General features: G+C 32.2%; 1 protein-coding gene across 9 annotated transcripts in view; it reads left to right on the top strand.

The window, feature by feature from the left end:
* TECRL (trans-2,3-enoyl-CoA reductase like) overlaps positions 1-17,040 on the top strand; it is a 133,163-nt gene that overhangs the window by 78,871 nt on the left and 37,252 nt on the right. For 6 of the 9 annotated variants that reach the window (XR_001741192.3, XM_005265664.4, NM_001363796.1 and 3 more), the window contains exons 3-5: positions 2,034-2,078; positions 7,798-7,901; positions 15,827-15,942. Coding sequence is in view for 8 of the 9 variants with exons in the window: in XM_005265664.4 (XP_005265721.1) it covers positions 2,034-2,078; positions 7,798-7,901; positions 15,827-15,942 (265 nt within the window). In the remaining variant the exon portion in view is untranslated. The remainder of the gene's footprint in view (positions 1-2,033; positions 2,079-7,797; positions 7,902-15,826; positions 15,943-17,040) is intronic. The other 3 variants (XM_024453961.2, XM_024453962.2, XM_005265662.6) reach the window with 1 other exon arrangement.

Raw genomic sequence — 17,040 nt, 5'->3', positions numbered from 1 at the left:
GTCAAGTATTCTTCCTGTCTTGGCCTCCCAAAGTGTTGTGATTACAGGTGTGAACCACCACGCTCAGCTGATTAATTAAAGTTTAACATTAATTAACATCTTTTTTACTTGAGATATATTTTACTCCTATTATAATGTTAACACCACCCTATGGGCTATCAACATTTGAACTTTTGATCAATATTGAGTTAAATTTCCACATGTGCAATGACCATATATATCCTGTCAATCATTAAGTATCCTTAAGAGGTCGCTAATGTTCAGTTCCAAACAGGAGTTTTGTAAGGTCTTAGAATTACAAGAGTCAACATTCAATTCATTTTAGTGTTCATATTTCAGAAAATAAATTGGCAGGTTTTATTTCTGTAAATTTGTTAAGACTACCAGACACTTCACGGTTCTTCTAACATTGTTGCATTCAATGCATAATCAGGTGTTGCTAAGCAGCACATTATGACTTTATTATTTTAGGTAGCATATAAACATATTTTGGTTACTTTAAGCCATGATAGATGTTTCTCTGATTTTTTCTTCATTTTTAGTTTCTCCTTTTTCTCTTTCCTCAATAGTACAGTAAAATAGTACTATTTTACTGTACAGTAAATAGTACAGTAAATAGTACAATAAAATAGTAAAGTAGAACCCTCAGTTTTCCCTTATAAAATAGAATAAGAGTTTTATGTATCATTCTGTGGCCTTTCAACATTTATTGTACTATATTCAATCTTACAAATATTTATTATTTAAAAAGTACTAATAATTGAGTATATTAATTTGACTTTTAATATCACGGCTATATTTGGGGTATTTATTTATTATTATTGTAAATGCATTGAAAAGTTGTAATCAAAGCAATATAATTTTTAACCAAATAAAATTACTTGGCTATAGAAAGTCACGGAGCTAATTATCTCTAAGTAGCATCTCTCAGCTATGTTTTATGTTTTGATTTACTAGTTTTAGGAAAATAACATATTTTCTAGATAGTTAAATTTACGTCAGTGTATGCATTTACAATACCCACACATAATAGACTTTAGAAGGTAAAACATACAATATATTCTTAAAATTACCCACATATATTTTTCATCCGAACTTCCTCTTTTCTTTCAACTAGTAATATATTACCTATTAATAGAGGCTCTGTCCATGGTTTCTCATTTCCATGAAGCACTCTCATCCCTTTCTAGTCCTGAGTCATCTCTGCTTTCTCCCATGAATGTATTGAAAAAAAAGAAGATAATTGTGGAAAATTCCTTTAAAAATACTCTTTTAAAAATTTATTATACGTGTGGTAAATTTGTTTAAAGTTTAATCTCAAAGTTAAGAAGTAAACTTTTAATGGAGACTTTAAAACGATAGTATAGAATTTATTTTAAGATAAAGTTATATTCTGATAATTGTGAATCAACTCTTCATTATGGCAGTGTATAATAAAGATGATTTGATTTTTCTATAGCGACAGAATTATTTAGTGCTCTCTTTATTCCTAACGGTAGTACAAAAAGAAAATTTCAAGTGATGCTTCTGCTATGACCAATAAACTCATAATATTAAAAGTCAATGATACATATAATTCTGATAGACATCTTAGTATTTACTCTTGATAGAGAAAATAACCCAATTTCAGGTGCAAATATTAGATGAATTTGAAATGAGATTAAAGTTCCCAATTTTAAATAAAATATTTTCAAGCTTTTTATTGATGAAAAACTTACATAGACTGAAGTGCACAAGTCATAGCTCATACTACCTGATGCATGTCCAAAACCTGAACACACCTATATAACAAGTCCCAAAATCAAAAAGCAGAAACTTACCACTTTTAAAGCTTTCCTCATGCTTTCTCTCAGTCACTATCCGTCATTGCTGGTCAGTACCCTACAAAAGGTAACCACTATTTCTATTTCTGACACTAGATAACCCATTTTATTTACTTCCTAGATCTAAATGGTCTTCCCATGGAAACAGTTAGTTTTATAAGCTATAGTTACACTTTTTCTGACAATTAAATGTTATTTTTCATTGAATAGGTCCAAAGTGGTACCCTTCTCGAGTTGGTCTGCAGCTAGAATGTGGTAAGAAGCATTTTTCACTGATGTGTTTATTTAATTTATAATCCCTTTTCTATTTTCAAAAGCTGACATTCACTTATCACTTTGCAAATATACAAATATTAGTATTATTTAATTGATTCGCCCAACAAACTAGAGCTCCACTTTTATAAATGAATAATTTAGTCTCAAATAGGTATTTTTTACATATTCACTGTCTGTGAGTTTTAGAAGCAGATTCTGAAACTAAAATATTTTTGTTTGTGAAGCTTTAACTGGTCGTCTGTGAAGCTTTAACTGGTCACCTTCTCATTCTACTGCTCCATAATATATTCTTAAGGTTAATGCTTAGCTTTTTCAATTTTTTCTTTTTCTTTTTGCTGTTATAAAGCAGAATAAGTGACATAAGGAACAAAACTAATGAATTTGGAGAAGAAGCATTATGCCCACTATTAAACCTCAAATTTCTCAGATTTTTAAACCCTATGATCTCAAGAAATTTATCAATAAATGCACTTAAAAATGGCTCCTACCAATAATTACTGTTGCTGACACTACATCAACTTTATTTTAAATTTGGAGTTTAAAATTTTAATGAAAGCTGTGGGTAGCATGTACTTTTTTTCAGGATAGAATGAAAAAGCCTTTAATAGTAAATCTATAGGAGGTACCTCTTAAGGAATTTCAATCTCCCAATTTTTCATAAATAATGAGTTGAATTTTTTTTCTATTGCTTTTCCTAATATTTAGGTTGCCCTCTCTTAGGTATTACATGCACTTAAAGACAAATGATTATTTCTTTGAGTCTCTCGAAACTGTTACGAGTGTTTTCATTGCTGTCTTAAACATTTAATCGTTCTCTGAGAACTGTATGTTCAAAACAAAGAAATATGCAAGATTTCTAGGAGCCACACTTTTCTGATTCTCTCAAATTTATTTTTGCTCAAATGTTCAAGACAAATTCCCACCTACCTAGAGTTTAAGAAAGACAAATTATTGTCTCATCTACTTTTGCCTTCATAGGGCCTAGCACATGTCAGCACATAAGTGCCTTTCAATACATGGATGTTGACATATATGAAATGAAATTGACTCTTACACAAAGAAGCCTCAAAGAGTGTCACAGACAACATTGTCAAATGTAACTTCCATTTGAAGGACACTATTAAGAGACTGATAAATTTCTGTTAGTTCAGTGTTCTGGTGAATATGACATATTCCTTTTCTCCCAAATTTATTTACCTAGTTGAGTGTACCAGGATGGGGTGTGAGATGAGTAAAATATAGTTGTCGCAGTGTCCTTAAAAAGAACTGTAATGATGTATTTGAAAAAAAAGTCAACTGATTTAGTGAGATATGGTGCAAAGAAATCAAAATCCAAAGCTCATTTGGATTGATTCAGATTTCTACATTTGATTGACCCTCTCATACTTACTTGCCTACATGGTCTTCTTTTATATGGCAGAACTAAAAAAACCACTTAAATCATTTTTAAAGTGTTAGTGTTTATATGTTTATAATGCATATGATGATTGGCACAGGCTAGTTGCTCCATCAATCTTAGTCATAACTATTAATATTAAGAAGAAAAAAAGGCAATACCAAAACAAAGCAGGGTCTTAATATTTATACATTTGCTCCCAAAATATACGTACTAGAATCATTGATCTTATATGAATATTAGAGACTTCTATAGTTTCCTCACACAAAAGAAACCTTTAAAACACAAATAAAATAGAAGCATTGATTTTCATGGGTAAAATTTTAACCAGTTCTTTAGCTCTGTGTCTCTGCTGAGCTGTGCTATATTTAGCTGAACTTGGATAGGTTCATGCATGCAGCTGCAGTGAGCTGCTGGGCTGTTAGGGAATGATTGGTCTACAATAACCACAACTTTCATGAAATTCCCTTTGTTCAATGTGGTCTCTCACCCCTCAGCAAAATAGTTTGGACTACTCACAAGCTGGGAGTAGAGGTATAAAAATGAGCAGAGGTACTAAAGAATTGTTGAAGCCCAGGTTTGGAAATAGCAAATGATCACTTGTCCTGCAAGTCACTAGTTAGCCCATATTCAAGGGGTGGGAATATGAGAACAGCTATCACTGAGAAGAACTACAAGGTCATACTGTATATGGTGTGCATATGGGGAAGAATTTCAGCAATTTTTACAATAAATCTGTCATATAATCTGGTAAGTAAAATATTTTGTATATTCCTACCTTTATTAATATGCTTTATAATGTCCTGGAAGGACTGGGAAAATTTCTAATGTTTAAAATGATTGGATTTCTACATAGAAAAAATAGATTTTTTTCCATCACTGTTTCCAAGCAATACATCAAAGCTCCATCCACATCCTTTATACAATAGTCTTGACAAACCACTAGGTTTGTTGTGTACCCCAGTTCCAGGCCCATACTTGGGAGGGAATATCCAAAGACCAGGTTGTGCTTGTGTTAATTTGGTCAGGAAATTCAGGGCCCTTAAGTGGCTGAAGCATGATCTAGAAAGATATGTCATGGGATCTAGTTAGGTATTTCCTGTCCTCTTGGCCCTATATATTCCTCTCCCTTTGATAAGGGACATAATCATGGAAAGCCAAGGACAATGGTCCCTTTTTCTTGAGTCTGAACGCTATGATTATTGATACATCTAGATTTTATCAAGTCATTTTTTCAAAATCTCATATTCATGGGACCACATTTTAAAAATAGAATGCCAATGATCTGTTCTTTGAAGTTGGCAAGCATGATAGAAGGGTAGAAACTAACCCCTTTTCTAAGGGTGCTAATAGATGTATATTGGAAACATATTTTCAGCACACTTTCAAGTGATACAAAGCCAGCTGAATTTTTTGTCCTTTTTAACATTTTCTTGTTCTTATACATAATTGTCTTAATACTACTGACAATTTTGATATCAAAGCCTTCACCTTGATCCATATTGTGAAAGTTTTGTATTGCTATGTAACAAATTTACACAAATTTAGCAGTATAAAAAAACTATCATTTATTAGATTGAAGCCATATTATGGCTTGATTCTCTGATTAGGATTGTATAAGACTGGAATCAGAGTGTTGACTGAACTGAATTCTCATGTGAAGACTCTTGACAAAAAGCCACTTCCATCTTCTTTTGTGTTATTGGAAGAGTTTGTGTTGGAAATGCTTGTTCCCTGGTGCTCCAAAGAAATAGCACTCAAACATAAATTTAATTCTCTCAGCAAGGCAATTATTACTTTCTGCAGAAAGGGTGCTCATCGCAGATGGAATAATGGTGAGAGCACCCTTTTGCATTTTATGTTTGTTTGTCTGTTTGTTTGGTCTTTGCAGTTGCATGGAAGAAGTTCCTGTGTTCTTGCTGGCTGTCACTTCCTAGAGGTGGCTGTCTTTTCTCAAAGGCCACCTGTATCCTTGACGTTGACCTTCTCCATCTTCAAGCCAGCAATAGCACAGTGAATCTTCCCAATGCACTGGATCTCTGAATTCCTCTGTCTCTGATTTCTGCACACACATTATAAAAACTCATGCAATAAATCAGGACTACCTAGATAATCTCATTTTTTAAAGCCATGCAATATAATTTAATCAACAGAGTAATAGCCTATATCATATGCAGAACCTCAGGGATTATACAGGTAGCAGAAATCCTGAGGATTATCTAAGAAATCTGCCTACCACACATGTGTTCTTAGGTAAACACAGGACTACATTCACATTTTCAAAGCAATACCAAATTATATGTAATTATATATGTATATATATGTATGTATTTTACAAATAGTAATCAATTTACATGAAATTTCTAAAATATAACTATGAAATTGTTTTCAATAAAGTACCCAGAGAACCATATACATTAACATGACCACCTAAATTATCTGGCTGTTAAAAGTGGATTTATCAAATTTCTGCCTTCAAATGTAATATACAATAATTGTATATTTTTTGTTTCCTTTTAAAAGACCTTTAATTATAAATATAAGCAGATATCTTGGATTCTGAAAGATCATCTAATGGTAGATGCAAATTAACTTTTTTTATTTATTTCAAAAATAGAGACTGGAATGATGCCTTTTAATGATGTAGATAATATAAATCACAAATAACATATGTTAAGTATAACAATAATAATAACAACAATAATAGGATTATATTTGAGAGATTAATCCATTTTGGTATTTGAGCTCTAGTCTACTCATTTTTCTTCCTGCTTGGTATACATTTCTTTAAATAAAACAAAATATTTATCTCTTACCTTATTAAATAACATTTAAGTGTTTTTCAAATATTTTATTATAAATAGTGCTTAAAAAGATATTTTTTTACATATCTTCCCATATACACATTCCAGACTTGTCTGATGGTTATTTTTAAGAATGGAGTCAATTATGTTTATTTTACCTCTATCTTATGAGTAGCTCCTTTAAGTAACCTTTGTTATATCTTTGTCTTACTATGTCTAAAGTCTGTAATACTGGAAACCTTAGTGTGTTTTCATTCCTTTCTTTCCATGCTGAATACACAAACAATCTCATGAAGCCCCACGGTTTTAAATGTTAATGACTTTCAAATATCTACACACACTTCTACCCTGCTGCCTATTTGTCAGTTCTTTCTTGAATGTCTAAGAGATACCACACACTTAAAATACCTTAAGGACTCTTAATTTTACCCTCAGATCTTGCTTTTTCTGTAGTCTTCTTCATGTCAGTTAATGACATTACAATGCATTTAAGTACTCGGGCCAAAAATCTAACTGTCTTTACCTCACTGAATCTTCTCCTTTCAATCAGCTGATCAAGAAGTTGAATCTAGGCTATGTTCCAAATATATTTACAACTGATACATTTTAACATTCTCACCAGTACCACCTTAATCTCAACAAACATCAGCTCCAGCTGGATTAATTTTAAATGTCTCCTAAATAATCACCTTGCTTCCCTTCTTTCTATTTTTCACACAGCATCCAGAATATATTTTAAAAAGATAAATTACACCATTCTCCCGGTGCTTTGGAGGGACCATTCATCTATCCACCACTAATTTATGCTCTTATAAAATCATTTAGAAAGTAGTTGAGGTGTAGTTCTACTAACACTCAAAATTACACTTTTTGTTGTTTTGTTTTGTTTTCATTTTGAGGCAGGGTCTCTTTGTCGCCCAGACTGGAGTACAGTGAAGCGATCACAGTTCACTGTAGCCTTGACCTCCCTGGCTCAAGCAATCCTCCCACCTCAGCCTCCTGAATTGCTGGGACTACAGGCACACAGCACCATGCCTGGCTAATTTTTTTCTGTTTTTTTGTAGAGACAGGGTTTTGTCATGTCACCAAGATGGAACTCCTGGGCTCAAGCGATCTGCTCACCTCAGCTCGACAAAGTTTTGAGATTACAGATGTGAGCCTTCACACCTGTCCTAAAATTACACTTTAAAAAAATTCCTGTATGTTATTTGTTTAGGTCCTAATATAACATGTTCTCAGAAATAATAGGATAGTAACTAATGGTAGTCTAAATTTTGGGTAGATGGTATTGGGAAACCACTGTGCATTTGAAGAGTTGCTAGATATATGTTATAAAATGGCATTGTTCACATTTTGTTTTACTTTGAAGATTTCTTGTACATTGTAATTTCCATATTAAATTAATCTTTAGCTTTTACTGATTTTACACTAAGAAATTCTTTATCGTTATGCTAAGAAATTGTATTAAAATAAAATTTTCTTGTTATTTTTATTTTAGGCGGGCCTTTTTTGAAGGACTACATTACCATTCAAAGTATTGCAGCTTCCTCCATTGTCACACTGTATGCTACAGACCTAGGTCAACAAGTCAGTTGGACCACAGTAAGTGTTAATTTGAAATGTAATATACATTTCTCATATTTTGCTCTAAATAATTTATTGACAGATTAATTCTATCAAATAAACTCATAGCGAAACAAAATGTAGTGAAAGGTATTTTTAATTTTCTATTCTTACTATGACGAGTGGCCAAAGTTCTACTCAAGTATTGGAGCAATAGAAAAACCACAGTTTTGAAAAAGGAAGATAAGTTCCTTTTTTTTTTTTTTTTTTTTTTAAAGTCAACCCACTCTATTACTGGGAGCTTCAACTTTGTTACCAAAATACCAGAGGTTCGGTCTAGGTCCTGCTGCTCACTGCACAGAAAGCCAATGATGGTGATGACAAGTATTGCCAAGGAAGAAGGCTTCAGTTGGAAGCTGCCCCTGAGGAGATGGGAGCTCAGTCTCACATCCATCTGCCTGACTGACTAAAACTAGGGGTTTATATAGCAGGGAAGAAATGTAACAATGTGTAAGAAAACATGTACTAGGGAGGGACAAGGAGGCATCTGGTGGGGTGATCTGATGAATTTCAGTTCTTTGATACTCTTTTGAGAGAGCTGAAGGTTCTCTCCTGAGGAATGAGCTTAGGTAGAACAGATACAAGTTTCAAACTTTAACAGTAATAGGGGTCAATTTCTACATTTATCCAAAAATAACTGTCTATGGGACTATTGGGCTGGTTTCATCTGCTCCACCTATGCTTTGTTATTTACATGGTATCTCTTTACCTTTTCCTTCTAGTAATCTAGGAACATCACAGATTCTTTTGACACTGGAGAGAAGAGTATAGAATATCCAGTTAAAAAGGAGGTTCTCAGGCAGAGAAACAAACTTTTGGCAACTGACCATGAAAAAGTAAACTTCCTTCAGCCTGTGAAAATATTATTTTGGCTCTTTTTGGAGGAAAATAGCAGGTGTTAAAATCATGGTATTTGAAAATGGCATTAGATGAATGAGGACGACATTGAAAAGACATAGAGGGTTAAGAGGCAGTGAAAATACTTGGTACTAGTGCACAGTATTGAAACACTCATGGGTAATAGAATAAATCAATGGAATAGCTTCAACAGCAAGAGGAAATGTTAATATGATATTTAGTAACAGAGGCAGTGAAAAATTAATAAACAGTTTTGATATACAAAGAATAATGAGCTCCTTTTCTTTCAATTACATTAAACTTCTGTTATTTGTATTATTTAAACTATGAAAGTTTTTCTTTGCATTTACATTCCACTCCATATTTGTGATTACTTTTAATATTTTTCTATTCAAAATGACTTTTCTTTTTGCCACAATTAACAATCAATCAACATTACCATTCATAGTGATTTGAGCTGTTTCTTTACAATTAAACAACCAATTTTTGTAAGTTTTACAAATGTATGATAATTTATACATTAATATTTGTTAATTTTAATCTAACACAAATTTAATTTTAAATTTATTAATTAAAATATTGCTACATCTGTGAATATTTTCTAACAGTCTTTCTTTTTAAGATATATTTCCCATGTAATTAATGAGTTCTATTTTATGTTTTCATTAAGAAAATATTTTCTGTGTGAAAAACTTTAAGAAATTAGTAGTATATATGCCCACAAAGGTGAGAAAAGAAGCTGCCAATGTTCTATGGTCGTGTTTGCAGTACAGTAAGGAGCTCAATAAATATTTTTTGAACAAACAAATAAATGAATATCAAATGAAAAAAAATAGTTGATTTATTTTCCAAAGTATATTGAGCTTTTGAGTACTAACTTGTACCACTAAAGATTGAGTTTAGAACCTTATGAATTCTTGTGAAGCACATTTTAATGTTTAGAAAACAACCTATAGACGATGCATGCATTTGCAAATAAAGTTTTAATACTGTACTTAAATGTGATGTCTACAGACCTTTGCTTAAAGAGATTTTAGAAAAGAGTGTTTGGTCTTCAAAGGTTAAAATATTCACAGGGTCTTTGTCCACATTTACAACGAAAAGGGAACTCTGTTTACAGAAATTGTGTCAGGGTGAGCAGCATTAAACCATTAAATCATTAGAAATTTCAGCTTCATCACTTGGATAAGCACTGAGAAGAAAACACACTATAGTGGAATTATTTGACAATTGTACTAGAAAATTATAGCTTGTTTGAGAGGAAAATCATCTATGTGACAAAGAGAACTCTGCAAATAGGCTGGATATTTCTACATCAACCCCATGGATCACACATCTTTTTGCTCCAAATGAGTCAGTTCTATTAAATGCTAAAAATATACACATTACATTGCAATTACACCCATTTCAGATCAACTAAATTATGCAACAAAAGTAATGTTTTACCACATATGACATTCTTGTTCATTGAAAAATATGAAAATTTGTTCCTATAATAAATAATATAATAGGGAAATAATCTAATTTAGCAAGGTTAAAATTAAGATTTTAATATTTTTCTCCAACTAACAGTGTGTTACAAAATATTGAGTAAAATCTTGCCTCATTTAACTTACTAAAAAACTTAGGATAAAAGATTAATATGAAAATATAACAATTCTCATTATATGAAGACTGTTAATTAATTAAAGTTATGCAGTTTTCACCATTTTTGTATTAATTCATGTATGTATGAGTTAATGTGTAATTCTATACAATTTATCCCTTGTATAAGTTCATGTATCTAACACCAATGTCAAGATAGAGAATTGCTTCATCCTTAAGAAGGAACTTCTTCCTTTTATCTTTGCATACTTACATACACTTTTTCCTATCCTGGAGTAACCACTGATGTGTTCTTCATCTCCATATTTTTGTCATGTGGAAAATGCTCTATAAAAGGATTCAGACAATATTTTGAGATTGATGTTAATTTTTCTGTAAGCATAGTGTCCTTGAAATCCATCCTGATTTTTGTTTGTATCAATAATTGGTTCCTTTACATTGGTGAGTAGTATTCAGTTATATGGATGTAATGGACTTTGTTTAACCACTTACTCTTTGAATTACATTTGGGTGGTTTTTAGTATTTTGCTATTAACAAATAAAGCTGCAATGAATATTAGGGGTATTTGTATGAACTTTTTAAAAAATTTATCTGGGATACAGTGTTGAGTCTTGAGAATTCTTTATGTAATGTAGATACGAGTCCTTGTATATGTGGTTTGGAAATATTTTCTCTCCTTCTTTAACTTGTCTTTTCATCATCTTAGCAGAACTTTTCACTGAAAGAATTGTTTTCAATTTTAATGCAGTCTAATTTATCAAGGTTTTCTTTTAAAGATTATGCTTTTACTTTCATATATAAGAATCCTTCAACTTAGTTGTAGGTCCTGGAGTTCTCTCCTGCATTTTCTTATGAGTTTAGTAGTTTTATGTTTTACACTGTAATGATACCCTATTTTTATTGTAAATTTCACATTTTTAATGTCTAAATCTAATTTTCTTCAATTTGTCTCACGTGTTCTATAACCCTTATTTCTCTTTTTTTCTTACCTTATTTTGAATTAATTGTCATGCTGTCTTTTCTATTACCTTTGTGTTATTTTGGTATTTATATCTTCTATTTTACTAATTCTAGGGGTTACCAAAGAGATTACAGAGTGAACCCTTGAGATATTAAATGCTAATATACATTTTTACATTTGATTTTACTAAGGTAAAAATATTTCATAAATATTGAATATGACATTGAATGACTTTACATTTGAGCACCTCCTGACTCATTTTCATGGTTTTGGTACAATATAATTTTCCATATATCTTAAATCCAAATACATTACTAAAATTTTATCTAACAAATACTTTATCCTTTAGACTTAACCTTTTTGCTGCGATTTAGTTATTTCTTCTAATGCTGAACTTACATCTGTCTCCTTCTCCCTGAAGAACATCTTTAGTGTTTTATTGTAGTTCTGTCATTGATGAATTATCTCCATTCTTGTTTATCTTAACATGTCCTTATTAACTTTTATTGTTAAAGAATATTTTTACATAAAAATAAGTTTATGTTGGCAGTTCTCTTTTCTTGACTTCACAATATTTTATTTTTTTAATTTCTGAATTCCATTGTTTCTGTTGAAAAGTCAGCTTTACTCCTTTGAAAGTAATGTGTCTTTTCTAAACAATTCTTGTTTGGTTTTGTTATCGGCAATTTGACTATGATATGCACAATTATTATCATATTTTTATTTACCTTGCTTTAGTTTTATCTGAGTTGGTGGTTTCATGTGTTCATGCGCACACACACACATGCATATAATTTGAAAAATTAGCTACCATTATCTATTCAACTATTTCTTGTCCATTATTCTCTTTAAATTCTTCTTTTAAATTTTACATTACATTTCAATATTTTTCTTTTCAAAGTTTTTACATATCTGAAAATCTCAACCTTATCTTTCATTTAACACATAAGAGATAGTTTTTGTTAAAGTTTGTGTCTGATATTCCTGTTATGTGCATCTTTAATTTTTTTATTTTTATTTTTGCTATTTCTCTTGGTTTTGCTCACAGTCTGTTTGGTCTTTGTATACCTGCATATTTCTAAGTACAGAAAATGTATGTGAAAAATTTTAATGATAGCTGAGACTTACGGTGATTTTTATCTTCTTTCAAATATAAGTTACCATCTTCTAAATGAATGAACTGTATTATTGGATCCAAGTCATCTTGATCAAATCAATGACTGAAATGATTTTAGGTTGAGCTTTAGAATCTGTGGAGACAGTTTTATGAGGCCACCTTCATCCTTTGGAGATGATGAACAACTGTTTTTGTTTTTTTATTCCCAGGCCCCATCAAAAATCTGTTCTTATCAGGCTCATATGAGGCTTCTTATGCAAGGTTCAATCTCTTCTCTGGATCCCCCATTTCAACATTTTTGACCTTCTAATTCCTCAATGACATTAAATCTCTGAAGGCTGAAAAAGGCTTTTTAAAAATATTTTGATCAGTTTTTCTCACTAGACTCATTAGTATTCTGTGTTTGAATTATATAGAATAGAAATCTCCATTATATGTTATTTATCTGTCAAACTACAAAAAAACCACAATCTTTATCTAGCAGGATACTAACTTCAACAGTATTCATTAAGTACAAAGTGATCTTACTGTATTACAAGTGATAAATGCTCCCAAAACTTTATGCAACACCCTTATCTTCAGGAGATTAAGGTTAAAACTACTTTATTTTGTTTTCAACAATTCTGAAATATACATTTTTTTAACTGCTGATAGCAATTTTAGAAAAAGAGACAGTAAATCCAACAATGCCCTAATAATGATAGCACTCATTTTTTTTTTTCAAGATAAAACGAAATGCATTAAGCACAGTTTAAGCACATGGGCTCTCACCAATTCACAGTTGCAGCCATGTTTCAATGTATTTTTTAAGCAGATTATTACCTTTTTCTTTTTTTCTTTTTTTTTGGAGACGGAGTCTCGCTCTGTCTCCCAGGCTGGAGTGCAGTGGCCATGATCTTGGCTCACTGCAAGCTCCGCCTCCCAGGTTCACGCCATTCTTCTGCCTCAGCCTCCCGAGTAGCTGGGATTCCAGGCACCTGCCACCACGCCCGGCTAATTTTTTATATTTTTAGTAGAGACGGGGTTTCACCGTGTTAGCCAGGATGGTCTCGATCTCCTGACCTTGTCATCCGCCCGCCTCGGCCTCCCAAAGTGCTGGGATTACAGGCGAGAGCCACAGCGCCTGGCCGATTATTACCTTTTTCAATTTGTACATATATCACGTTGAAGATTCCACTGAGGTTTCAAAGACTCTCAATTTCCTTGCTTGCCTAGTACAAACAATGAATTTTGTATTCAAAACAGAAGATTAGTTTAATACAGTTAACTTTTTGAAAGAGGAGCTATAAATACTATTTGATAATAGAAATAAATTGAAATTTCAATATAGTGTTTGTCTTCAAAATAAGAAAAAGGTGTATCTGCCTCTTTAGAATATAGTCTTCAGTATAATTCTGTATTATAGGGGAGTTTCTAGTCTGTAAGTTCTTGCGATGTACTTGGTTTGTATATGACTGCTTATCTGTTTACTTGATTGTATTTGGTTTTGATTTTGTTTTATTTCCCTTTAGTAGAAAAGACCAGTTCCATTTTCAGAAGACCATATTAATATGTGTCTATCTAGCCCTTATTTTCTTCATCTTGAACTATTTTCTGATTACTTTCTAAGTTTAATAAATCGTCTTTTCCCCTTTCTTCTATTTGCACTGAAATAATTTTTTTAAATGCATTGTCCAAAAGTTACTTATCATTCTCTAGTGCTTTCAGGACATATTATTCATAACCCTCCATATTCTAGCAGAAAAATATTCTTTATAAAATATTAAGCCTTCTAAAACATATTTTATATACTAGTAGGCTCTCTTGAATTATTTTTGAGAGATGATTGAGATAAGATTATAGTTTAATTTCCTCTCATGCGAAGAAACTTCAGATCTGTGTTAGCATTTTTATTAAGTTAATAAAGATTGACACTTGGTCCAAGTTAACTATTGTACACAACATTTTATATTCCTGATATATTCTTAGAGAATTTGCTCAAATTTGACTTCACTAGATCAATTGGTGTTGAAATAACTATTTTAAACATTTTATTGTACTAAAACAATTACCCTCATCATTATTCCAGAGTTTTGGCATTCTATCATTACACATTCACAAGTGGCAAACATTTTCTATAGAATAATGGGGTATTTTGTAAGCCATAAATTACTACAGTCTCTCAAATGAGATTGCTTTTTATATTGACTTGATCAGAAGTTGCATTGTTTTTACTTCTCACACACAAATCTTTCTTGGTACATGAGAAAATATATATATATTTCTAAAAGACAGAATTATAACTGAAGAAACCTCCATATGTAAATTACTATTTATGTATTTGTGTGTAATTATGTATGTATATAAAACTTTTAATTACACACATATATGCATATGAATATATATGAAACCATGCATATGTATTATTCATTCTAACAATCTTCTCAACAGAGCTGTGAACATGATTTCTAACCAATGTGGACAGCTAACTGCATTTTTGAGCAAAACATGCAGATTCAAATTGTTTCTTAAAAAAAAATGGTAGCAGATGAAGACAAAATAGTTAATGGTAGTCAAATTTATTATTGTTAAGTTGTATTTTTTTCTCTTTGAAAACTCCAAAGTAAATTACTTTCCCTTATCTGTCTAAATACTTCAGAGGAAATTTAACATGATTTTAGCACTAAAAAATCAAACAGCTATCAAATTTAGACCAGTTAGCCAATTAATCTTTTGCAATCACTTCGTCTTTTTTCAATTACCTTTCCAAATATTGTTAGTGTCTCTCTATAGTTCAAATATGGTTACCCCCACTCAGCTCAAGCACTCAAAAGTTAATTATTTTAACCATACAACCAGACTCATTAGAATTAAAATATAAAATTTCTAATAGAGAAAACTGAATTGTTTCCATTTGAATTAGAGTCAAATCAATGGATTCAAGCTGACAGGCCCATGGAGGGTAGGGTAGGGAAGAAAAGAATAAGAAAAAGAAAAAGAAAAAAGATACTCTAGCTCATTCAATTTATTGACAGGGACAGTTTATACAGAAGATTAAGTGTGTATTGGACTGGGCAAATACACAGAAAAATATATTAATAATGGTTAGTTTATTAAAATAAAATCTCCTTTTTACTATATCTGAAGAAAGAAACCAGTTTATTAGGTTCAATATTTATTTTTATTCCAAATTAACTATACATATATTAGGCTTTCTCCCCCTGGTTCTTCCAAGGAAGTCGTTATTTGCAATATCACTTAATCTAGTTACAAAAAATCTACCTGTTTCACCAATTTATGCAGTAGGCTAATACTCATAGACACAAATGAACCTTAAAAACATCTATTTTTATCGTTTAATCTAAATCATGTTTTATTTTCAGGTGTTTTTGGCTGAATACACAGGACCTCTGCTAATATACCTCCTCTTTTATTTGAGGATCCCATGTATATATGATGGAAAAGAGAGTGCTAGAAGATTACGCCACCCAGTGGTACAGTAAGTGATACACACACACACACACACACACACACACACACACACACACACACACACCATACACGTTAAGGAGGGGATGAACTAGTAAGCAGGTAAAATATTAATAAAGGTTGTTACTAAACGCGATTGAAGTGGATATCATTTTATGGAAATGTATTTTAGATAACCACACATAGTGTATGTACACCAGCTTCCAAATTTGTAAACTAAGAACTATTAGGTATACCTTAAAATAGAGGTAATTTACCAATGATCACAGCTGTCAAGAGCAACTGCGAAATTCAGAAACGTAGTCAAAAGAAGTTTACAATTACAAAATTGAAAGACCATGTATAGGATATAAAATACAAATGCTTCCCTAAAAATATATTTATTTATTTGGCAATGTTACATAGGAAAGAAATAATGACCTAAGTAATGAACAGGAAGAAAAAAGTTTACAAGTTACTTTTTATTTATTTTTATTTTTATTTTATTTTATTATTGGTATTATTTTTTGAGACAGAGTTTCGCTCTGTCACCCAGGCTGGAGTGCAGTGGCCTGATCTCGGCTCACTGCACGCTCCGCCTCCCGGGTTCACACTATTCTCCTGCCTCAGCCTCCCGAGTAGCTGGGACTACAGGTGCTTGCCACAATGCTCAGCTAATTTTTTTTTTTTTTTTTTTTTTTGTATTTTTAGTGGAGACGGGATTTCACCGTGTTAGCCAGGGTGGTCTTGATCTCCTGACCTCGTGATCCGCCCGCCTCGGCTTCCCAAAGTGCTGGGATTACAGGCATGAGCCACCACGCCCGGCCACAAGTTACTTTTTATAAGTCAAAATCCAAAATTAAATACCATTTTGAAGTATGACAAAAAAAGAGTAAGGCAGCCGTGCTGGTGGCTCACGCCTGCAATCCCAGCACTTTGGGAGGCCTAGGCGGGTGGATCACAAGGTCAGGAGATCGAGACCATCCTGGCTAACACGGTGAAACCCCGTCTCTACTAAAAATACAAAAAATTAGCCAGGCGTGGTGGCGGGTGCCTGTAGTCCCAGCTACTCGGGAGGCTGAGGCAGGAGAATGGTGTGAACCCGGGAGGTGGAGCTTGCAGTGAGCTG

This window comes from Homo sapiens, chromosome 4 (assembly GCF_000001405.40).
Source record: "Homo sapiens chromosome 4, GRCh38.p14 Primary Assembly".
Lineage (NCBI taxonomy): Eukaryota > Metazoa > Chordata > Mammalia > Primates > Hominidae > Homo > Homo sapiens.
Note: the sequence above shows the minus strand (reverse complement) of the source record. Positions and strands in the feature narration are given on the sequence as shown.